General features: G+C 31.7%; 1 protein-coding gene across 4 annotated transcripts in view, besides 11 other annotated features; it reads right to left on the bottom strand.

Annotated features, from left to right (window-relative positions):
• Positions 1–24,886, bottom strand: part of EYS (eyes shut homolog) — a 1,987,247-nt gene that overhangs the window by 1,717,094 nt on the left and 245,267 nt on the right. The window lies entirely within an intron of this gene.
• Positions 4,882–5,051: an enhancer, noted in NCBI's record as "experimental_92629 CRE fragment used in MPRA reporter constructs". NCBI's record gives its function as "activates a minimal promoter by MPRAs in K562 erythroleukemia cells, with activity observed for both the introgressed and non-introgressed 6:66151933 variant alleles {active_cell/tissue: K562}" and the evidence as "EXISTENCE:reporter gene assay evidence [ECO:0000049][PMID:34662402]".
• Positions 5,153–5,322: an enhancer, noted in NCBI's record as "experimental_92636 CRE fragment used in MPRA reporter constructs". NCBI's record gives its function as "activates a minimal promoter by MPRAs in K562 erythroleukemia cells, with activity observed for both the introgressed and non-introgressed 6:66152204 variant alleles {active_cell/tissue: K562}" and the evidence as "EXISTENCE:reporter gene assay evidence [ECO:0000049][PMID:34662402]".
• Positions 7,281–7,450: an enhancer, noted in NCBI's record as "experimental_92651 CRE fragment used in MPRA reporter constructs". NCBI's record gives its function as "activates a minimal promoter by MPRAs in K562 erythroleukemia cells, with activity observed for the introgressed 6:66154332 or rs10944799 variant allele {active_cell/tissue: K562}" and the evidence as "EXISTENCE:reporter gene assay evidence [ECO:0000049][PMID:34662402]".
• Position 7,366: a transcriptional cis regulatory region, noted in NCBI's record as "Neanderthal adaptively introgressed variant 6:66154332 (GRCh37/hg19 assembly coordinates) or rs10944799 in the experimental_92651 CRE". NCBI's record gives its function as "modulates activity of the experimental_92651 enhancer by MPRAs in K562 erythroleukemia cells {active_cell/tissue: K562}" and the evidence as "EXISTENCE:reporter gene assay evidence [ECO:0000049][PMID:34662402]".
• Positions 7,956–8,125: an enhancer, noted in NCBI's record as "experimental_92656 CRE fragment used in MPRA reporter constructs". NCBI's record gives its function as "activates a minimal promoter by MPRAs in K562 erythroleukemia cells, with activity observed for both the introgressed and non-introgressed 6:66155007 variant alleles {active_cell/tissue: K562}" and the evidence as "EXISTENCE:reporter gene assay evidence [ECO:0000049][PMID:34662402]".
• Positions 9,850–10,019: an enhancer, noted in NCBI's record as "experimental_92672 CRE fragment used in MPRA reporter constructs". NCBI's record gives its function as "activates a minimal promoter by MPRAs in K562 erythroleukemia cells, with activity observed for both the introgressed and non-introgressed 6:66156901 variant alleles {active_cell/tissue: K562}" and the evidence as "EXISTENCE:reporter gene assay evidence [ECO:0000049][PMID:34662402]".
• Positions 13,509–13,678: an enhancer, noted in NCBI's record as "experimental_92766 CRE fragment used in MPRA reporter constructs". NCBI's record gives its function as "activates a minimal promoter by MPRAs in K562 erythroleukemia cells, with activity observed for both the introgressed and non-introgressed 6:66160560 variant alleles {active_cell/tissue: K562}" and the evidence as "EXISTENCE:reporter gene assay evidence [ECO:0000049][PMID:34662402]".
• Positions 13,702–13,871: an enhancer, noted in NCBI's record as "experimental_92772 CRE fragment used in MPRA reporter constructs". NCBI's record gives its function as "activates a minimal promoter by MPRAs in K562 erythroleukemia cells, with activity observed for the non-introgressed 6:66160753 variant allele {active_cell/tissue: K562}" and the evidence as "EXISTENCE:reporter gene assay evidence [ECO:0000049][PMID:34662402]".
• Positions 13,702–13,931: a biological region, named in NCBI's record as "Neanderthal introgressed variant-containing enhancers experimental_92772 and experimental_92778".
• Positions 13,762–13,931: an enhancer, noted in NCBI's record as "experimental_92778 CRE fragment used in MPRA reporter constructs". NCBI's record gives its function as "activates a minimal promoter by MPRAs in K562 erythroleukemia cells, with activity observed for both the introgressed and non-introgressed 6:66160813 variant alleles {active_cell/tissue: K562}" and the evidence as "EXISTENCE:reporter gene assay evidence [ECO:0000049][PMID:34662402]".
• Positions 16,074–16,243: an enhancer, noted in NCBI's record as "experimental_92831 CRE fragment used in MPRA reporter constructs". NCBI's record gives its function as "activates a minimal promoter by MPRAs in K562 erythroleukemia cells, with activity observed for the non-introgressed 6:66163125 variant allele {active_cell/tissue: K562}" and the evidence as "EXISTENCE:reporter gene assay evidence [ECO:0000049][PMID:34662402]".

Genomic DNA, 24,886 nt, shown 5'->3' on the forward strand with positions numbered 1-24,886 from the left:
GTCTGTATATAAAAGGAAAACTTAATTTATTATGTTTCTCTTTTTCTTTATACTACAGAAAATGTTGCAGATGATTCCACTGAATTTATGCAACTCTGCTGTTTTACTAAAATGGCTCATAATGTGAAATTTATTTCAAAATAATAAAGCAATATCCTAACAACTGCAGTTATGGGTGTGCTCAGTGTCAAAAATTAATTACAGGATTAAAGAGAGAAAAACATATATTAGTGTTTTTTAATGGTAACATGAGATTAAAAGCTGTTTTCTATTAGGATACTTGCAAATTCATGCATGAACATTAACTCTTAGATGATAGTTGAAATATAGAAAGAAAAAGGGAATTTTGGGATTTCTTCAGTATGCAGTTTTTTCATGGAAATCAGTTTCTTTCATTGTTATCGCCACAATTATAATGGGAAATTGAGAAAATAAAGATACTAATTTAGATTGGTTACCATATGATATTTAAGTACAGAACTTACTTTACCCACATAATAACATATGGACATGTTAATATAACTTAAAATTTTAAAGAGTACTTCATGTATGCTTCTTTAAGAACTGTATAGAAGAATCTTCTTTAAGAAACTTGGCATCCAAAACTGTTACAAAAATATTTTCAAGTGGGGAAGATTCATTTTTATTCCTATTATAATGGCTTAGAGATTTTGATATCTCCTTTATGCAAACGTTTGATAAAACAGTCTCTGGCATTATGCTTTTTGTCACTTTCAAACACCTCCAAATTTAAACATTCATATTTTGGGTTTTATTTCAGTTTTTCTTTTTTTCAATTATACTTTAAGTTCTAGGGTACATATGCACAACGTGCAGGTTTGTTACATATGTAAACATGTGCCATGTTGGTGTGCTGCACCCATTAACTCATCATTTACATTAGGTATATCTCCTAATGCTATCCCTCTCCCCTCCCCCCACCCCACGACAGGCCTCAGTGTGTGATGTTCCCTGCCCTGTGTCCAAGTGTTCTTATTGTTCAATTCCCACCTACGAGTGAGAACATGTAGTGTTTGGTTTTTTGTCTTTGCAATAGTTTGCTGAGAATGATGGTTTCCAGCTTCATCCATGTCCCTACAAAGGACATGAACTCATCCTTTCTTATGGCTGCATAGTATTCCATGGTGTATATGTGCCACATTTTCTTAATCCAGTCTATCATTGATGGACATTTGGGTTGGTTCCAAGTCTTTGCTATTGTGAATAGTGCTGCAATAAACATACGTGTGCATGTGTCTTTATAGCAGCATGATTTATAATCCTTTGGGTATATACCCAGTAACGGGATGGCTGGGTCAAATGGTATTTCTAATTCTAGATCCTTGAGGAATCGCCATACTGTCTTCTACAATGGTTGAACTAGTTTACAGTCCCACCAACAGTGTAAAAGTGTTCCTATTTCTCCACATCCTCTCTAGCACCTGTTGTTTCCTGACTTTTTAATGATCGCCATTCTAACTGGTGTGAGATGCTATCTCATTGTGGTTTTGATTTGCATTTCTCTGATGGCCAGTGATGATGAGCATTTTTTTCATGTGTCTGTTGGCTGCATAAATGTTTTCTTTTGAGAAGTGTCTGTTCATATCCTTTGCCCACTTTTTGATGGGGTTGTTTTTTTCTTGTAAGTTTGTTTCAGTTCTTTGTAGATTCTGGATATTAGCCCTTTGTCAGATGAGTAGATTGCAAAAATTTTCTCCCATTTTCTAGGTTGCCTGTTCACTCTGATGGTAGTTTCTTTTGCTGTGCAGAAGCTCTTTAGTTTAATTAGATCCCATTTGTCAATTTTGGCTTTTGTTACCATTGCTTTTGGTGATTTAGACATGAAGTCCTTGTCCATGCCTATGTCCTGAATGGTACTGCCTAGGTTTTCTTCTAGGGTTTTTATGGTTTTAGGTCTAACATTTAAGTCTTTAATCCATCTTGAATTAATTTTTGTATAAGGTGTAAGGAAGGGATCCAGTTTCAGCTTTCCACATATGGCTAGCCAGTTTTCCCTGCACCATTTATTAAATAGGGAATCATTTTCCCATTTCTTGTTTTTGTCAGGTTTGTCAAATTCAGATGGTTGTAGATGTGTGGTATTATTTCTGAGGGCTGTGTTCTGTTCCATTGGTCTATATCTCTGTTTTGGTAACAGTACCAAGCTGTTTTGGTTACTGTAGCCTTGCAGTATAGTCAGGTAGAGTGATATCTCCAGCTTTGTTCTTTTGGCTTAGGATTGACTTGGCAATGCAGGCTCTTTTTTGGTTCCATATGAACTTTAAAGTAGTTTTTTTCCAATTCTGTGGAGAAACTCATTGGTAGCTTGATGGGGATGGTATTGAGTCTTTAAATTACCTTGGGCAGCATGGCCATTTTTCATGATATTGATTCGTCCTATCCATGAGCATGGAATGTTCTTCCATTTGTTTGTGTCCTCTTTTATTTCGTTGAGCACTGGTTTGTAGTTCTCCTTGAAGAGGTCCTCCACATCCCTTGTAAGTTGGATTCCTAGGTATTTTATTCTCTTTGAAGCAATTGTGAATGGGAGTTCACTCATGATTTGGCTCTCTGTTTTTCTGTTATTGGTGTATAAGAATGCTTATGACTTTTGCACATTGATTTTGTATCCTGAGACTTTGCTGAAGTTGCTTATCAGGTTAAGGACATTTGCTCTTATGTGTGTCCTCACAATTTCAACCCCAATCATGCCCAGTTCTCATTCCTGTATTTCAATTTAATTAAACTCAACAAACATTCATAGACATAAAACTATAACATGAAAAGTACTGTAATGGATCTATCTTTAAACAGCAGCTGATAAAAGACAAATGAGTGAACAGTTCATAATGGCCAGATGAAACCAAAGATAAAAGGTGACAGTGGAGGGCAAATAAGTGCTTGTCAAGCAGACTAGGAGGAGGAGGTGTTTCAGACAAATAAAACAGCATTGGAAAGGTTAAACAGCTGTTTTAGTGCATAGAGTTTTCAGAGAAAAAATTAAGTGATTCAAAAAGGATAAATCACATAATTGTGAAAGTCAATGGAACAAATGGATAAATACAGATGAGCTTAAAATAAAGGTGAAGTTAAAGTTGCAGTGGCTTTTTAAGCAATTGTTCAAGCATGCATTTTACTCTATACCAGTGATACGTAAACAATGCTCACTGGACAGGGCCTTCTATGCATAAATAGTTCCAAGATGAACAGGAGTGAGAAACATTTGATAGATTCAATACCATATGTCTACTTGAAACTGTCTTGAAAACTTACAATGCATGTTAGTTTATAAACAACCTTCAATAAAAAAAAAAAAATTAAAACCCCAAAAACAAAACCAAAAACCCCCTTGACTTTAATTTAATACATTTTCTAAATTTTATGAAAATGAAAATTTTCCTCATTTGGAAGACCCATTATAATATCAAGAAAAAAATCCCAGAGAATAGAGTTTGAGAAACATATTAATAGGACGTGCAAGCTGGTGATATCTTTTACTTTACTGCTCACAAGTAATTTTTGCTTGTCTTTAATGAGTCTTCCCCACATTTCCTCCATAAACATCCTCATAAAGCTGACCATGTAAAGCTAATTTTTTTTGTACTCACACCATATACTTCTACACTGGAAGGTGTTTGGGATGTAGCATATAGTATCGTTGAGAAATTTTTTTGATATGGCTAATAACATTAATTTATATTAATGTCTGCTTCACCAGGAATACAGTTTTAGTAACCTGACTTAATTCCTTTGTGTAGAAAAAAAATATGTGTATATATATATATATAGATTTATATTATATATTTATATTATATATGTTTATGTATAATATATATATAAACAGTATATATATAAAAAACAGTGTCTGTATATGTATATAAATATATATATTTAAACAGTGTATATATATATCTATATATATTAAACTGTGTGTGTGTTTGGCACATCATAGGAACTAAATATATGCTTCAGAAAAATAATAAGATTAATTAATTAAACTCATTAATGACTTGATTTGTCATGTTTTGTGAATCATGGAGCAATAAGAAATGTGTGTATTTTGCTGATAATATTTTTTGCTACAAACCATTTTTATTAGTATTTATTTTCAATGTTTAATATCAACATAGCATAATACTAAATTTTATGAAATTCACTCATTGCACATTATGTCTCTTCAGGATTTAAATTTTTATATTTTGTATCATCTCAATATTTATATTTTTAAGAACTTTTACTTTTTAATATTTTTGCACTATATTTTGACACTATATGTGTTAGTTTTAGATCTGTTCTATTTACGAATGTTCATGAACAGATTTTCCCATTTTCTAAAACTCTTATTTGAAAATGCATTATGAAAGAATTGTATTTTAGAAATCATGACTCCTCTGATATGGAATGACAAAATCTTTCCAGGACTTATAAAAAATTCACTAAACAGTTAGGTCTTTCAGCTGTTCTATGTGTTGACAGACGGTTGCAGATCAAAACTGTGCATCAAAAAGATTATGTTAATATAATTACAGTGGAAAATATTCTGAGGAACACAGGAACTTTTCCTTAGCACCATTTAAATGTGCTAAGGAAATAGGTAAAGTAAGCAAAGTCAACCTACAAAATAGGTAAAGTAAGCAAAGTCAACCTAAAAACACAGAACTGTAGAACTTGAAGGGACTAAATATATATCTACTTCAAATTCTCCTGCTTTCAGAGGAGGACACTGAGAACCAGAGAAATGAATTGACCTTTGCAAGGACATTCAGAAGTACTATTTTCTAAATCCTGCTCAGACATATCAAGGAATGACACAGGAAGTTCAAGGCCAAAGTCATATCTGAAGCCGTTAAATTTGCTTGCTTGAAAAACTAAATGTCATTTCTTCATAGAGGCCTTCTGGAGATCTTTTTCTTTTTTGTGACATGATTCATTCCCAAAAATATGACTGTACTGTAACTGAAAGCCTGGTTTATTTACTTCATACACCCCGTTAGAATTTATAGTAATTTTATTTAAATTGTGTTGCTTTTAGACCATTGAATTATTTGTGTTTTCTTCTTTAAAAAATATGACTATAATTTTTCTAATAATTAGAGTTCTTCATATATGAAAATTTCTAGCTCAGCATTTCTTAGTGACTCCTGAAATACCTGATGCTTTATTTCCTATCTAAATATCTATATCTTATAGTCAATATTCAGTACTTGGTCTCACCTCAGGACTATTGATTTTGATTATTGGGTTTGAATTATATGGGCTTAGAATTCTAAATTTTGAATATTCTTATGCATTCTAAAGTTTAAGAACTTAGAAATTTTATTATTTATTTTATGGTAAGGCAATTTTATTACTTCATACTGCTGTAAACTACTGTTTTTCATAAATTTTAAAAATGAATAGGCCAGGCACAGTGGTTCATGCCTGTAATCCCAGCACTTTGGGAGGTCAGGGGGGCAGATCACGAGGTCAGGAGATTGAGACCATCCTGGCTAACATAGTGAAACCCCGTCTCTACTAAAACTATAAAAAAATTAGCAGGGCTTAGTGGAGCATGCATATAGTCCCAGGTATCTGGGTGTCTGAGGCAGGAGAATTGTTTGAACCCAGGAGGTGGAGGTTGCAGTGAGTCAAGATTGTGCCACTGCACTCCAGGCTGGGTGACAGAGCGAGACTCCATCTCAAAAAATAAAAATAAAAAATAAAAAATTAAAAAAAAATATATAGACACACACACATGCATATGTGTATATGTACATATATACATACATATACACATACATATGTACATATATACATACATATACACATACATATGTACATATATGTATATATACATGCACATACATATGTACATATATGTATATACGTATATACATGCACATACATATGTACATATATGTATATATACATATGTGCGTATATGTATATATGTACACATATCTGTAAATATACACACATATATACACAGACATACGGGAGCATGCATATATGTGATATGTATGTGTCTATACATACATGCATATGCATATACATATATGTGGATCATATATGTACACATCATACATATATGTACACATCATACACATATATGAGCACATATGTGCACATCATATACATATGTGCGCACATATATGTATGCATCATATACACATGTATGTGAACATATAGACATATGTGTATACATATATGCAAACATATAGACATGTATGCATGCATATATGCATACATGTGTGTACACATATAGACATATATGCATACATGTATGTACACATATAGACATATATGCATACATGTATGTACACATATAGACATATATGCATACATGTATGTACACATATAGCCATATATGTACATATATGTACACATATAGCCATATGTACATATACGCCATACACATGCACATATATACACATATGCGCATATACTTATATGTATAGACACATGTATGTATATACATATACTTATGGACACATGATACGCATACATGTATACACACATATGTGTATATACACATATACATATACATCATATACACATATACACACATATAAACATGTGTAGAGGCACATATATGTGTCTATACACATATACGTATACATCATATACACACATACACATATATACACATATGTGCATATACACATATATACACATACGTGCATATACACATATATACACATACGTGCATATACACATATATTCATATATAGTTACATATACATTATGTACACATATATGTAGTAATATTCCCTTACTGTTAAGAATATTAATCAAATATAAGTCTAAATTAAATGAAAAAAATCTAAGTTAATCCTCATGTTAGTTCCTATACCTTTTTCTTTATATCCATAAGATCAGAAGAACACTTTAAATAATTAACCTAAGCTGGATGGAACAAGTAATAATAATAGTAATAATAGACTTTAATAATAATTATTAAAGCATGGTTCAATGGTTAAAAGTAAGGTCCCTGTGTCTGTGTCTGAAATCTAAAGACTGCAGTTTTATTAGAAGGACATTAATTATATGCATATTACTGAAAATTGCTGTCAAGGAAACAGAGTAGTCAATTTCCTTAACCCACATATTCCCATTGTACACTAGAGTCACTATTCTTCAATATAGTCTCAAAATATATATTTTTACTAATTTCAGGCACTATTTTTTAAAAGCTTATCTTCAATAAATCTTCCCATACTAAATTTTGGCTTTGTGGATTCTAAAGACAACAACACAGTGCTAACTTTTGACTTTAAACAAGTACAGGATGGGACTCAAAGTCTTCTAGTTTAAAGTTGATGTAATTGATTTATTCTCCCCTCCTTCACAAGAAAGTTTATATAAAAAGAACATAAACAAGTGGTGCTTACTTTGCCACAAGGCCTACTAATACAGGGAGACCAGGATGCTGGGCAGCTTAGCGGAAAGGTCAGTCTTTGGAGAGGGTTGGATTGTAATCCTTTAAGGCACCTATAAACTATGTGACTTTAGGCCAATTATAAAGTATTTCTAATCCTCCTTTTAAATATTGGGTTTTGTTGTTCTATAAAATAAAAAGAATAATACCAGGTAAACATTCTGCTAGGCAGTCTACCTTAGGTCTTCTATGTTAGGAGCTTCTATTCTAGCCAAGATTAACATTTAGTATAAATATTATTAGTTGCAATTATGACATTTTCTTCTATAGAGCCTAACAGGTCATCTTTACAAATTCCTTTATTTCACAGAAAAGTAATGAACTATATCAACTATTTGATTATATTTATACTTAGATGCTAGAAGCAGGACCAATATATTGCGCTTCCATTTCTCAATGATGTATTCAATTAATTCATGCTTTTTCAGTCTTCACTAGCTTGTTACCTGTCTACACCTAAGACCTTATCTTGTTTCTATTTTAACATCCAAATACTTTATGCATAGCATTTGTTTCTCGATTAATCTGACAAAAGATCTCTAGAATAAATGCTGCATTAACAAATGAAAGTGAATTTAATGCCTGCCAAGTTAGTACCTGAAAAAAAAAAAGGTCTTTTAAACTCCTTGGATAGTTTTGATTGTTAATGTTTTGATAATTATTTTTATGGTTATTTAAGTGTTCCTAGTATGACAAGCCAAAGGTCTAGGTTCATCAATCCACCATGATTGAATATTTCTTATAACTTTTTGTACTAGGTGGAAAATGATCACTTTTATTAATCCTGTGTACTGATCACATAAAAATAGCTAAGGCTTGCTTTGCTCAGGCCTATAGTTTAACTTAATTTATTAGGGAAGTATAATAGTATTCATCTTTAACAACTAAACTATAAAGTTCTCCTAAGAGAAAATCAGAGCAATAAATATTTTGAATAAAATTTTACCACTTTTTTTTAAACAAAAAAGCATAAAATTAAATTTGCCTGCTAATTTATATTTTAACTTGTTAAACTTGTAGCCCTTTTTGGATCTAATGATTTCCTCCTTCATGTGATTTTAGGTTTATTCAAACTTACTTTTGATTATGAAAAAATTTACCTGACAGCCAAAGCATACATTCAAACAGATAGCAAAATCATTGGTTAATAAGATGTGTACTAAGACACAGTCTCAACAGTGCAGAAATAAACCAAAAAGGTATTCTTTTAAAATATTTGCCTTTATATAGAAATAATATATCATGTTTTCATATTTAACCGTCATGGAAAATCTTGAATTCAGTTCTACTTTATTGATGTTCTCTGAACTTCCTTTTTAAGAGTTAATATTTTAGAAACAAGTTAATATGTACTGAATGTTTAAATTCCTAAACTATTTGTTTCCATAATTTTATGATATATAATTTTCCACATAAAATTTCCCAATTAGCTTATAATATCAATAAGATTCATGTTTACTACTCATAATTTAGGAGAAATAAAATTTGAACTAAAAGTAGTAGAGTTTGAAAATTTTCATAGTATAAATAACATGGTTTTAACCCAGAGGTTTTTTTAATCAATCATAGCGAAATATTTTCAAAAACTCAGTGACTTTGCCTAATGTCAATTAGTGGACCCAATTGATCACTTGTTTTATCATATATGTAGCAAATTTATAGTTTATCATTTGTCCAAAGGGTGTTAAGACACAAGAGATAATACATCAATATTGAGTAATAAACACAGAAACAGTAGTTTTAGAAAAAACAATAAAATGTTAATACTTTTAATGAAGCCATTAATTTTTTTGGCAAAATCACCTTCAATAATTATAGCTAATTAATACTTTTTCATCAAGTAAAATTTTACCAGATAGTGTGTTTAAACTATATTAACTTCAAAGAGAAAACTGTCAGAACTAAAAGTATTTTTAAGCCTGAAAGTTTAAATGATATAAATGTTTTTAAATGCTTTGATTTGAAGAGGTACAATCCTCTGTTTTCATGACTTTGATTCATTGCTGTGTACACAGAATTAAACTCAAGATAATACTGAGAGTTGTGCTAGCTGTTAAGTTCACAGTGATTAATGGCAAGACAAGATATCAGGCATCTAAGAGTTGAGAAAGTATTAACTTGAGAGAAAGCTGAAAAAGCCAGAGGGAAATAAGTCACAGTAACGAAAAGCAAAGAAAAAGCAAAACATTGTTCTTGATTGTACTTTGATACATTCCTGAATTCATCCTAAATTGTCAAAAGACATGTTAAAGCAGTGTTCATGGGATCTAAATCTAAACTGGCCTATGAAATAAATAACTAATATATTATTACATAAAAATTAAGAAACATAAAATATTACAAGCAAATTTTCTGTTTTTGAGTACAAAATGTAAGAAATATTAATTCTTAAAACTTTATGAGAAAAACAGAAGGCACAGAAAAAAAGCCATTCTAATAATTTATACAGTTTTCATATAATATTAGTTATCAATTATTAAAGACTTCTCACATAACAGACATCGTCTTAGATGATTGTATAGCCTATCTTAATCCTCATAACATAATCACCAGTATGTGAGAGGAAGTGTCTCCTTTTAAATTTTATATATTTTGTAAGCTAAAATTCAGAAAGATTCAGTACTTTTTTAAAGGTTGCACAGAAGTAAGACTTTAAATACAGTTCAGATCAGTAATTAAACTTTGTTTTATTCATTTGCTTAATCATCTGTCTTCCCCAATGTTGCAATATTTGTGAGGGTAGGTACCAATATTGGCTTTTCTACTTCTAATTTCCAGCAATTTTCACAGAACCTGACTCTCTTTCTTTCTCTCTCTGTGTGTGTGTATATATATGTGTGTGTATATATATATATAAATATATGTATATAGTTATATATATAAATATATGTATATAATTATATATATAATTAGAATTATAAATTTACTGTACTGAGTCATAAATCTTTCATAATTTTTTTAGTGTATATGTGTGATATTTCTTTCAAAACAAGAGCACTTTCCCAGATCAAACATTGTAACATGTATTTCTATGTATTTATTTTTTTGCATAGATTTACTCACTTTTTCATGTGCTCTTTGTATTTTTTTATTTGACATTAATTGGGCACTTAATGAACACATAGATTTCAATGTGCTAGAGTCTCCATATGTAAAGATGAATAAGAACTGATTCATTGTCTGAAGGCAGCAGCATGCAAACAACATTAAATCAGACAAACAGGTGCACACATTGTATTAGTGGAATGGTTTGTGTTTTGCAGATGCAGAGAGATAAATAACTAATGAATCATGAGGGAGCTAGGGAACACTTTGCTAAGGAAGCCACCTGTGGGCTGAAACTGGGAAAAGTAGTTAGTTGTCTAGCTTCATGTTGGCAGAGAATGGAAGAAAGGAAAAGCATTTCAGGAAAAGGAAACAATGTACAAAGACCCAGGTTAAAGAAGATAGGATGCTCAGTTTGCCTGTGATGTAGTGTGTGAATTAGAATGAAATGAATGTAAGCTAGCAGAAATACAGTCAAGTCAGATTACGATGAAGTGTTGTTCAGCAGAAATACTACTGGCAATTTGGACAAATTTTTCTTTGTTCAGACAAATTATTTGAGGGAAGTTAAACATCACTTGCCCTATCCACTAAATTCCAAGTACTCCCTAGTATTTGCAAAAAGCTGATACAAACACAACTCACCCATTTCTCCCATCACTTTTCCAAGTGCCTCCATCAGGAATTGTAATCTCACACATACACACACTGCACGGCATTAAGGGCCAACGTGAAGTACTGAGGAATTTGGACAATATTCAATGACAAATGAAGATAAAGAAGTTAGATGACTAACATGATTGTATTATGCTTTATAATTTTCCAATTTTAATTCCTTAATATGATTAGCCCAAACTGTAAGAGGAAAGCTGAAATCATTCTTAAAACTGTGAAAAGTTTTATTAAAATTCATTGAGATTGCAGTTATGAAATGTGCTAATTTTCAGGTTAGGACAACTTAACACTTGTCCATTACTGCTTCATTGACATGAAACTGCATTAGAACATGTCCTTATTCTATTAACACTTTTTTATGGCCTTCAAAGATAAACACAATAGGATATTTTGTTCATTGGCACACACACTCATATACATACACAGTCACATAGACTTGTATACACTGCTTTACTGCTTTATAAAGCTCTTACAAACATATTTTTGAAGAGTAAGTTTTTGACTTCTTTGAAATAATTTTTTTCTATCTTTTTAACAATTTGGCAATATCAAATGCAATGTTTTTGGTAATTTTATTATGAAAACAAAAAGCAACTTAAGACTTGATGAAAATAGTGGTCAAAGCAAATAAACACAGTTTATGTTTCAGCCAAATTATTGCATTCAAGAAGGCTGTGTTCACAATGTATGATTCTTTTCAACATGATTACATAATCTTATCTGTAAGCAATACAGCATGCCATTCTAGTTAGAAACAACAGTTCTGATTTAATGTTAGGTTTGTGAATTTGGTTCTCACCTTAAGAAACTAACACCCACATCCATATGCAATGCTTAATTTGCTTCCACTTTATTCACTTTCTTTCATAAGCTATGGACCGAGCACAAAAATAACCTAGTCCAAAAGATTCTTGGGGCCATCTGCTCTGTTTTGCCTTCTGAGGCTTCTGTTGTTTTCCTTTACTAAAGAATGGTTTCCTTGATGTTCTCAATTACCTATTGTTTTGCTGATGGTTATCTTGGCTCTCTTCCTGTAAGAAATTCAAGAATTGTCTCCAGCTGCCTATAGCATAGACGGCCAGTCATATGACATTTCCCTTATTGGGATGCATATAAGACAGGTGAAGAACTTTCTAATTAAAATATTTGAGTTGTCAATTCATAGAAGAAAATAATTTCTTAGGAGATTTTTCTGCAATTTTTATAATTAAAAGAATGCATTGGGTTGTTATCTTTCTCAAACCTTATAAATTTCTATTGAAATCTGTACAATTGAAAACAAAAGAACAACACTGAGATTAAGGTTAGTATACATTGTTGCCTATAATTATTAAGTATTGGAAATAGAAAGCTACTAGTAGCTGAATGGAATTTCATTTTGGTCAGATTCAATTGTGAGACAAAATCAAACAAAATCAAACAATTCATTCAAGTACACAAAGATGATTTTGGTATCTCATTTTAAAGCAAAGGCAAGAAAAATAAGCCTTACGAAGAAAGGACCTTGTTCATTTCCTCCCTTTACTTTCCTCAGAATATTTTGTTTCCTTTTTTTCCTCTCATTTTCCACCTTCTGTTCTTCAATTCTACTCTTCTCTGTTTTAAAGTAATTTCTTCCTTTAGCTGGGCCTCTCAACTTTTTATCTTCCTGGTTTTTATTACAACCTCTCTAGGACCTCTTCCTCATTTTAGATGCTAATTAGCACTTACTAATTGAAATTTTAAAAGCTGAGTATTTTAAACACTTTAGCACATCAAAAAATTCTGTGATCATAGGCAGATTTCAAAATAGTTTAGTGTGTAAAACAGAAGATACTAGAGACTGCTGCCTTTTAAAGAAAGTGTGAAAAACAAGATATGTGTCTAAATTTTACACTTATTTTAACATTGCATGTCTAATTCTGACATTCTTACACAGTTTGAAAACAAACCAGGTTTTTGTTGGGTTCTGGCTTGTGTGATTACTGTCATCAGAATCCTAGCCTATTCATTTCTTCAGATACAACACAGTTATCACAGATTTTATAGCATTTTTTTCTAGATTCTGCCACGTCTGTTCCATGCTTTCTACAGAAAATCAGCTATGAATAAATGTAACTTTATCCTAGGTACAGGGGGAAAAGCAGTCATTCTTATGAAGTGCAATTTTATATATAATTATTTTTAAAAGTTACATTGTATTTACGAGATGTTACAGATTGGATTCTCTGGGAATCAGATGTTGAGACAGAGTTTAATGTATGGAATCAAGGGGGAAAGAAAGTAGTCCTGACAGAGGTAGAAGTGGATTTCCATATGGTGACCAGAAACTTAGCTGACCCAGTGATTTATGAAGCTAAAAATGACCAATCAGAGTTGTTTTGCTTGAAGTGGAAGTGGCCTAGGCCTTTATATCCCTCCCTCTTTCAGTCACAGATATGCAGATGTGCTCTGCTCTGGAAATGGGTGTGACCTTGAGCAGGGCAGCTTCTCAACTCAGGCAATCCCTTAAGGGGCTGAAGCTTTCCTGCCACTTACACTCCTAAGACCAGTGGCAATAGGATACTCCCTGCGAAATGTGGGTGACCCATCTCCACATCCAACACCTAAGAAACATTTAACATCCCTAGACTTATGCTGAAGAATTTTGTTTTAAAATATTGATGCCTTGTTAGCTCATCATTAATATGAAAATTTCTGAGAAACTCAAAACTCACCCTTTTTTGGTATCACCCATTTTATTCACACATAATTTATCTCCCTTTTAACTTTTATTCATGGGTCAGAGATACTGCTGTATATACATGCTTTGTACTCACATAGTTCTTTTAATTTTTGCTTTATTTTTCCTTTGGCATACTTATAATTATAAACTACTGGTATTAGTGTTGTTATCACTTATTCTTCACTTATCTTTGCTATTTTCTAGATTAATAGAATTTTTCTATTCTATTAATCTAGATTTCTAGATTAATAGAAAGACAATGCATGCAGATAAGTAGTGTAGCCAATTCTAAGTTGGAGCCTTTAATTGTGGCACAAAGTAGAGAAAGATAATAAAGACTCATGTTTGTAGTGTTTACTAATAGCACATTTGGGGATAAATGAGAAAATACCATTAATTTGTTTATTTACACCCCTCACACACAATTTTGACCATGCTTTCATTTGTTTAATTCAAAGAATTTATGTATTTACTACCTCAATCAAAATGCATTATTTGACACTCTAGTAACGACTCAGATGCCCCTTTAGCATCTAATAATTCTTCTTTCAATGTAAATGCTCAATAAATAAATATCTGAAAGATACACAATCACAGATCCTTAAGAGTTCTTTAGGGATATACAGTATTGTCAAATACTTTAGGGATACATAGTACTTTAGAGATACACAGTATTGTCACATTTTAAACTCACATAACTTGGATTTGTCATTAGCTTAAAGAGTTTGCTCAAATACAATAAAAAATAAAGTTAGCAAACATAAAGTCATTTGAGTATGAAACACACTGTTTTTTTAATTGCTACTTCCACAGTGAAAACTTCTCATTATAATTAGCACTTCTTAAATATAGGCACTGATCTATACTTTTTATTTCTTTTTATTAAATGCATATTCCAACATTTTATCTTTATAAATATTGATTCCAAATTAAAGTGTCTAATTTTTTAAAAAATGTATTCAATGGTATGTTATTAATGAACAACTGTTATTTGAACAATTCATTTAAAATAAATAATTTTATATCTTTTGCCTTGTTAAATGTTTTAAAGGAAAATTAATTTTTAATTTGAAAACTATTCATAGAAACTTTGAGAAGTTTTACTAATCTTAATTTTTAATATGCTTAAATGCAACTATTAGTAGAATTTAATAATAATTTAATTAAATTAGTTAATATATGTCATACACTTGTAATAGTACCTTATGACCTCACACTTAGTGTGAAATGGAGGTCAGCTCTTATTAATAGCAAGAAGTAAACAAATAACTAGGGTATAATAAAACTTTCTAATAGTAAGATTATCAGCCTAAAATTTAAGGGATATTTTTATCATTTTTATAGAAAACAATGTATTTTGATTTTAATAAAACATGAAAAACATTTTAAAGAAAGAAGTAAGAACATGGAAAGATTTTTTTTTTTACAAAATTAAATATTTTCTGAATTAAATAAGATGTTCTAATATTGAGCCAGATTTATCTGCTTAAAATAATTAAGTTTTTTAGTGTGTATCAGACATATGTATAGAAGCCACTAAGGTAGGATTAATTAAATTATAGCTTGCAATGTATTACCTCATTCGAGATAATAATATGTAATTAGTTGACTTCACTGGGAATTTTCAATTTATATTCCTAATAAAAAATATTATGTAATTGAAACCAACATCTGCCTAAAATCAAAATGTCATTTAGAAGATTTGCAGACTACTGCTAAAGTCAATGGACATTGTCCCTAAGGAAGTTCTCAAAGAAGTGTTGTAGTAAAGAGCTTTCTGTGCATTATTCCAGCCTGAGGGAACTATGTTAGCAAGTATCTTACAGTCCAAGATATTGGTCTTCTTATATATGGGCAAGTAATAAATCACTGTACTTGCATATGTCATGTACGTGGCCCATATCAACAATCAGAGAAGATGTAAATTTGTTGAATACAAATATGAACAAACATCCATTGACCAACAAACTGTAACAGGCAATCAATCTGATAATGAGAAATCCAAAAGAAGACTTTCTTTTAAAGAAAGACATGAAGGACATTAGATCACAGACAAGCTCCGTAAGGTTCTCAAAAAACAAATTCATCTACAAAGCACAGGGAAGCATTTATAAGTACACAGCCTGAAGTTGATTACTTGTTTGTTCATATTTTTCAAAATAAATGGTCTAATATACCCTAAAAGAACAAATTTTCACAGACATATGTGTGGTTGGTATGTATGGGCAGGTTTATTGTTCGAAGTCCATATACAAACATAGCGTGTATTTAACTATTTATGTATTTAACTTCTATACTGTTTTCAAGCAAACTGTACTGTCTAATTGCACCATGTATAGAGGAGTAGGCTAGGACATTTAGATAGCATTTGGCATTTTATTCCAAATTCTAGGAGGAACACCAATAATCTCAGCTTATGTATTTAAAAATTAGAACTGATTTTAAAACTCAAATTTATTTAAAAAATATTTGTTTTCTTAATTGACACATTGTAATTGTACATATTTATGAGGTACACTTTGAGGTTTCAATACATATCTATGCTGCATAATGACCCAATCAGGGTAGTTAGTGTATCTGTCACTTCTGTGCATTTATCCTTTCTTTGTGATGAGAACATTCAAAAGTCTATCTTCTAGCTATTTTGTAATATACAATATTAAACTGTAAACCATAGTCACCCTACTGTGAAATAGAACACCAAAATTTATTCTTTCTATCTAATTGTATCTATTGACCAAGCTCTCCTCAACCTCTCCTCTCCCCTCCCCCCTACAGTCTCTGGTAACCATTGTTCTACTCTAAGCTTCTAAGATATCAACTTCTTTTATTTTAGATACCAGGTATGAGTGAGATCATGCAATAGTTGTCTGTCTGTGTCTGGCTTCTTTCACTTAACATGATGTCCTGCAGGTTCATTCATGTTACCACAAACAACAGAATTTCATTCTTTTTGATGGCTAGATAGTATTCCACTGAGTATAAACACCGTATTTTCTTCATCCATTCGTCCCTTGTTGGACTTTTAGGTTGATTCTATATCTTGGAAATTATAAATTGTGCTGTAATAAGTATGAAAGTGCAGATATCTCTTTGAATACTGATGTCATTTTCTTTGGATACATAACCACTGGGGGATTGTTGGATCATATGGTAGTTCTATTTTTCATTTTTTGAGGAACTTCTATACTTCTTTCCATAATGTCTCTACTAGATTACAATGTGTGTAAGTGTTCCCTTTTCCCCACATCCTTGTCAACACTTGTTTTCTTTAGTCTTTTTGATAATAACCATTCTAACTAGAGTAAAGTGGTATTTCATTGTGGTTTTGATTTGCATTTCCCTGATGACTAGTAATGTTGGATATATTTTATATACCTGTTGATCACTTGTCTTCTTTTGAGAAATGTATATTAAGTTTTTTTGCCCATTGCTAAATCAGATTATTTGTTCTTTTGCTGTTAAATTTCTTATATATTCTGAATATAAATCCTTTGTTAGATGTATAATTTGCACATATTTTCTCTCATTTGTAGGTTGTTTCTTCAACTTGGCTAATAGTTTCCTTTTCTGTGTAAATGCATGTTAGTTTGATGTAATCAAATTAGCCTATTTTTGCTTTTGTTGCCTGTGCTTTAGAGGTTTTATTTAAAAAAAAAAAATCCTTGCCCAGCCCAAAGTTGTAAAGCATTTCTCCTGTTTTCTAATAGTTTCATATTTTCAGATTTTACATATAAATATTTGATTCATATTGAGTTGATTTTGTATATGGTGAGAGTTTGGGGTCTAGTATCATTCTTCTTCATGTAAATATCCAATTTTCCTGGCATCATTTGTTGAAGGGATTGTCTTTTCCTCAATGTGTGTTCTTCTTACCTTTGTTGAAAATCAGTTCACTGTAGATGTGTGAATTTATTTCTGGGATCCCTATTGTGTTCCATTGATTCATGTATCTGTTTTTATGCCAGTACCATGCTCTTTTGGTTACTTTAGTTTTGTAGTGTATGTTGAAGTAAGGTAGCCCGATTTCTCTAGCTTTGTGATATTTGCTTAGGGTTGCTTTGGCTATTTAGCGTCTTTTTGTGGTTCCATATAAATTTTAGAATTATTTTTCTTTTGTGAAGAATGTTACTGGTATTTTGATAGAGATTGTAATAAATGCATAGGTTGCTTAGGGTAGTACAGCCACATAACAATACCAATTCTTCCCATTTGTAAACATGGGATTATGTCCGTTTATTTCTGTCCTCTTTGATTTCTTTTATAAAAATTTTATACTTTTCAGTTTAGAGATCTTTCTCCTTCTTGGTTAAGTTGATTCTTACATATCTTATTTTTTATAGCTGTTGCAAATGAAATTGCTTTCTTGAATTCTTTTTCAGATAGTTCACTCTTAGTGTATACACATACTACTAATTTTTGTATGATGATTTTACATCCTGAAACTTTACTGAATTTATTAGTTCCAACAGTTTTTCTTGATAGAATCTTTAAGGTTTTCTATAAAGAATTTTAAGATAGAAACTAAAAACAATTTTAAAGGTGAACAAAATAAAGAGTTGGATGACTGAAAAGATAAAATTCACAAATCTTTAACTAAACTAAAAAAAACGAGAGAAGACTCAAATAAGTAAAATCAGGTGAAAAATGCATCATTACAACTGACACCACAGAAATACAAAAGGAGATGTGAGAGTATTAAGAACAACTATATGCCAACAAATTAGATAACATAGAAAAAATTGATATGTTTCTGGATACGTACACTCTGCTAAGATTAAATTTTGTAGAAATACAAAATCTGAACAGAACAAAAATTAGTAAGAAAATTGAATCGGTAACAAAAAGTCTTCCATCAAAGAGAAGCTCAGGGTCTAATGGGTTCACTGCTGAATTCTACCAAAAATTTAAAGAAGAATTAATAGTAATTTTCCTCAACCTATTCCAAATAATTGAACAGAATGAAATACTTCCAAATTAATTTTACAAGAGTAGCACTACTTTGATTTTAATACCGGACAAGGATGCAGGAAAGACGGAAGGAAGGAAGGAAGGAAGGGGAAAGAAAGAAAGAGAGAGAGAAAGAAAAAGAAAGAAAGAAGGAAGGAAGGAAGGGAAGAAAGAAAGAAAGAGAAAGAAAGAAAGAAGGAAAGAGAGAGAGATGCAAGCTACAGGCCATATCTCTGAGGGACACAGATACAAAAAATTTCAGCAATATCCTAAAAAATTCAATCCCACAGTACACTAAAAAGAACAGGCCGGGCGAGGTAGCTCACACCCGTAACCCTAGCACTTTGGGAAGCTGAGGCAGGCGAATCACGAGGTCAGGAGAGCGAGACCATTCTGGCCAACATGGTGAAACCCCGTCTCTACTAAAAAATACAAAAATTAGCTGGGCGTGGTGGAGTGCCGGTAGTCCCAGCTACTCAGGAGGCTGAGGCGGGAGAACCACTTGAACCTGAGAGGCGGAGGTTGCAGTGAGTCGAGATCACACCACTGCACTCCAGCCTAGCGACAGAGTGAGACTCTGTCTCAAAAAAAAAAAAAATTTACTCTTAATGACTTAATACAATTCAGTTTTAATTTTAAGATTCATTACCACTGTTCTTGTACAATTATTTTATAATTATAAAAAAAAGAACATTCACTATGATCAAGTGGAAATCATCCCAGGCATGCAATGAGGGTTTAATTTATGCAAATAAATACATGTGATACATATCCCATTAACAGAAAGACAAAAGCATATGATAATTTTAATACATGCATAAAAAGCATTTGACAAAATTCAACATCCCTTCATGATAAAAAAAAAAACCTCACAACAAATTAGAAGTATGTAACTTTATGCCTAATTTCACCATTTCTATTCAGCATAGTACTGAAAGTTCTAGCCAGTTATTAGGCATGAGAAAGTAATAAAATGTACCCATATTAGAAAGGAGGAAGTCAAACTGTCCCTGTTTGTAGACAACATGATCTTATATAGAGAAATTCAAGTGTTTCTGACTTCAAAACTGTTGAAGACGTTAGTGCTACTTACCATTATCTCCTGAGCACATGAGGGTCAGTATAGAACTTCTTTACCCCCTTGAGTTTAGGCATAGCTTTGTGATTGGTTTTAGCTAAATAAATCTATGCAGATGGAACATATGCCATGTGTCACTTAAAGATGGAAGCAATTAATTGCTGATAGAAGACTCTCCAAGGTTGTTTTCTCTCTTTTGTTGTTGTTGTTGTTGTTGTTGTGTTTTATTTATTTATTTTTTTAGACTAGGTCTCCCTCTGTCACATCGGCTGGAGTGCAGAGGCACAAACACGGCTCTTAAAGCTTTGACCTCATGGGCTTAAGTGATTCTCCTGTCTCAGACTCCTATGTTTCTGTGACCACAGGCATGTGCCACCATGCTCAGCTAATTCTTTTTTTTTCCGTAGAGATGGGGTCTCACTTTGTTGCCCAAGCTGGTCTCAAATTCCTGGCCTCAAGCAATCCTTCCACCTCAGCCTTCCTAAGTGCTAGAATTATAGATGTGAGGCACTGTGCCTGGCCAAAGGTTCTCTTTCAATGCAGCAGCAATCCTCGATTGGAATTGATGTTGGAATTGCAAAGTTGAACTATCCTTTGCTTGATGGTTGTCTTGGAATATCATCTGAAACTGCAGTTTCCTTGTATAAGTAAGAAATAATTCTTTCTTGTTCTAAATAAGTGCTATTATTTGTTTTGTTATCCTAAAATAATCTAGCACACTCTGACGAATAAAAAAAAATCAAGTTTACCCTAATATGCTACATTGTCACGGAATCAAGCTGAAAGTTACCAAGCTAAAGATAATTAATATTTTCACCTACAAATCAAGCTTAAACATTCTTATATATGTTCCTAGACCTAATTAGATGTGTACAAGTTTGGTACAAATTCTCAAATATCAGTCATCTTATCTTTTTAAATGGCCCACAGTAGTAGCCATTGAAAGCTTGAGTAGCTGCTCAAGCTCAGCAAGTACAAAATTAGACCACTATTTCTGCCTACCCTCAAACCTATATTACCTTCTTAATCATATCCAGGGAGAACCAGGGAGCAATCCTGCTTCTTAACTCTTCATCCCTCCCCACTCATAAAAAGCTATATGGAAAATCATGTGGATTTTGAACATGTATCTATCATTGTCTGTTTCCTTATTGGCACTACTAAGTTTGGACCAACATCTTTGGAATATAACTAGGTTAGTTGCAACCTCCTAAACTCTGAATTATCCTCTACTCTTGTCATTCAAGATATCACTGTAAAATTCAAATCTGATCATGCATAAAGTACTTTACTGAATGTTTGTTATAGCAACCATATATTCTCTACCGTGGCACATCACATCTTCCATCATAATTTCTTTGTATACATTTCTGTCTTCATTCTCCACCAACCTATGACTTGCTTGAGGACAGAAACTACGGATTCATCTTTGTAGTCTTAGTTCTCAATCCTCCCTCACCCATCTTATACTTGTTCCCAGCCTAACCTCAGGGAATATCCCATGAGAATCCTAGCTGTCAAATAAAGACAAAACATTAATACCTAAAAACAGCATAATTTATGCTGACTCAAATAAGGTGCTCTCAGAAATGTTTCGAGAACTTCAGGACTAATTTTCCAATTCCTATTTATCACTTCAAAGCTGAAGTAATGTCACTTATTTCTGTTAATAGAATTGCTCAGAAATAGTTTCTGTTGTTAAGTTCAGGATTTACATAATTTAATCAAGTACATGTAATGCATTAAAAGTTTGTAATTTAGGGTATACCCAATCTAAGCTACCTGTTTATATTTGCCTACAAAGCACATACACACTTATCTTATAATTGTGAAAACAGTTTGGGTAGACAAAGACATTTTTTGTTGCCTACTAAAAATACTGAATTTTGCCAGACACTGAGGAGAAATTGCAATGTTTCAAATAAAACATCATTGCAGGTACTATTGTAAGCCTAATAGCATATATATATTTATAGAGACAGAGGTAATAGAGAGACTTATTGTCACAACTTTGTAATGTACTTGCAAAATAATCTTACAAAAAATTTAATTAAAAAGTATAGAATTTTTAAATTGTTGATATTTAATAGGATTTGTTCTAAAAAATGCTTTTATATTTTCCTTACGAAAATCAGAGAAAAACACTTTTGCTATGATAGAATTATACACACAGTCATTAAAATCTGATAAGATGGCTCCTGCTAAGTGAACTTTGCCAAAATTAATTGAGCAAGATGCACCTGCTGGTTTGAAAGGCCAGCTGTAACAGTATATGAAAGAATGAGAGAGAGGATGTGCTGAGTGTATATGTCACAGAGACTGGGGATATTCAATTAATATTTTCACTTATTAGAAAAGATGAAGCAATTGATGTTCCTAGTGATATTTTAAATGCCAGTGGTATTAATTCTGAATAATTGCTGTCATTATCTGTATATTATTTTGCACAGGTAAGCAGAGTAAATTTAGAGAACATTATAGTTTAAGTGTGAAACAAAATGACTAAAGAACCTACTATAACTTTCAAAATCAATATTTGGAATATGCAAATGATTAAGATAATAAGAATGTACATATAATGAAGAGTATATGATATTTTAAATCTGACAATTTAATGAATGAAAAGATAAAATAAAATATTATTATACAACTTTATACCAAAGATGCTAAGGCAAGAAGTGCCTGACACCTGGTAGATGTTTGATAAATATTTGTTAAATGAATGAATGGATAAAAAAGAGTTTCATAGAGAGTCTTGAACAGAAGACTGTTCAAGAGATCTCAAATATCTGTTTACATGGAGAGACAAATATTTTTTAGCCCATAAATATTTAAAACCAACTGAAATATTTGAAAATATATTTACAGTCATAGTATGATAAATTGTCCATTCTCACAAAGTAGTCACTGTATTTTGGTTGGCTTTCTTAAACAGAAATTACCTAAACTAAAAGGATTACTACTGTATCTTTTCTTATTTTTCCATACTTTTTCTGGTGCGTGTGTGTGTGTGTGTTTGTGTATTTTATATATATATATATATATATATATATATATATATATATAATTTTATTGTATGTATTAATATAATATATATCACTGATATATGTGTGTATATATGTATATATGTATACACACACACACACACACACACACATACATATAAAATATCCTCTAAGAGAAAAGACAGAATGGAGAGAGAAAAAATAAAAGGAAAGAGGAAATTATCCAGAGAGACACCATGAGTTATGGTATCTACTCTTTCCTCCCTAGAGATAATCACATCTTTCTAAACTTACATATAAATTAATAAATCCACAAAGTAAGAAATAGGCAAAAATTTCTATTATATATAAAATACAAATTTACACTAGCCATACTATAAATGTTTGCATTGTTAATATGCAGATAAAAATGTAACTTCTGTCAAATATCTAAGAAGATAAAGTCCCCTTGTTCTCCCATCTTGATTAATTATTTTCTCTTTTGAGAACATATGGTACAGAAAGAAAGAACTCTCCATAGTTGTGAAACTCTTTAGCTCATCTCATCAGACCTGATAATTTGGACCTTATGACCAGGCCAGTTGAAAATAATTATAGTGTTAATAATGGAAAAAATGAGATTAAATCAAAATTAGTTCTATTTAGCTCAGATTCATGCTGACGTAGAGCCAAAAGCCAGCTTTAGTTTACTCAGCCTTCCTTTGGCAATTTTTCAGTCAAGTACATGAACATTTATTCCGGTAATATCTAGTGGTGTTTTGGCCTGAACAAATCAATGGATTACTACAAACAACACAATAGTTGCCAAATAAACTTAAAATATAGATCAATTAGTTCACATACAAACACACTGACTGCTTCACACTATATTATTAAATTGAAAAACTATTCCATTAACACGATGCATTACTATAAAAGAATTGGCATATATGAATTTCTTAACATGCTCCCAACTCTACTTCTAAATAAGGAAGTTTACTAAATGATCCATAATATTCTTCATACATGAAGGTCAAATACTGTTTCTATATCAAACATTAAAATAATAAATTACCAAAGATGTATTTTCCAAGTTTGGTTTATCCAGATATTGATAAAATATTATGATTCTCTATTCAGAAATTGTATTACTCAATTGATGTGATTGATTGGATCAAATGCCATATATAGTTGTACTTTCTTCTGTCATATAAATGAGGCAACAATGGCCTTGGTAAATTAACTCTACCATTGTTTACTTCTTCACAGAAGGCTAAGACCATTACCTCAAAAGCCCAATGGTGCCAAACATAAATTTTCACACATGCAATTGTTCTGAACAAACTCCTGATAAGCACTATTTTTAGCACTTTAGAGCCTAGCTCCATTACATATCTAGGAAAACTTCACTCAACATTTGTTAGTCATAGATAAGACACATCCTGAGGCTATAGATGACACCAAGCGACTGTTGATCTTTGGAGTTCTCTAACTCATCGACTTCCAGTTATAGTGCTGAGCTACATCACCCAGATGTATAAGCTCACTCTCATATTCCTTTCTTCCTGGAGCTCCTTTGCCCTCTCTGCGATTTGGGTTCTGGCCTTCTGCTTCTGTTTCTGAAACATCTGCTGTGTATGCCCCTCCCACGTAATCCTAAACCTACACAATTAAATGTTATTGCCACTTCATGATCATGTCTTTTTCCTTGATCAGCCCTGAAACCCTCAAGTTTTAAGCATACCTTCTTAAGTTTTAAGGGCACTGAATAAATTTTAAATATAATCGTTAAAATATTTTATATCACAAGCTGCTTGCTACACAATTATTAGAATAACTAAAACAATAGAACAGTAAAACAACCATTATTAATTAAAATGCCAAGTAACAGGGACTCTCATACTTTACTGATAGGAAGTAGTATTACAGTATTGCCATTCCAAAAAATGATTTATCAGTCTCTTATAAAATTAAACTATACTTTCATATGACTTAGCAATGCTATTCTTGGGTATTTACCATAGAGAATGAAA

This window comes from Homo sapiens, chromosome 6 (genome assembly GCF_000001405.40).
Source record: "Homo sapiens chromosome 6, GRCh38.p14 Primary Assembly".
Classification (NCBI taxonomy): Eukaryota; Metazoa; Chordata; class Mammalia; order Primates; family Hominidae; genus Homo; species Homo sapiens.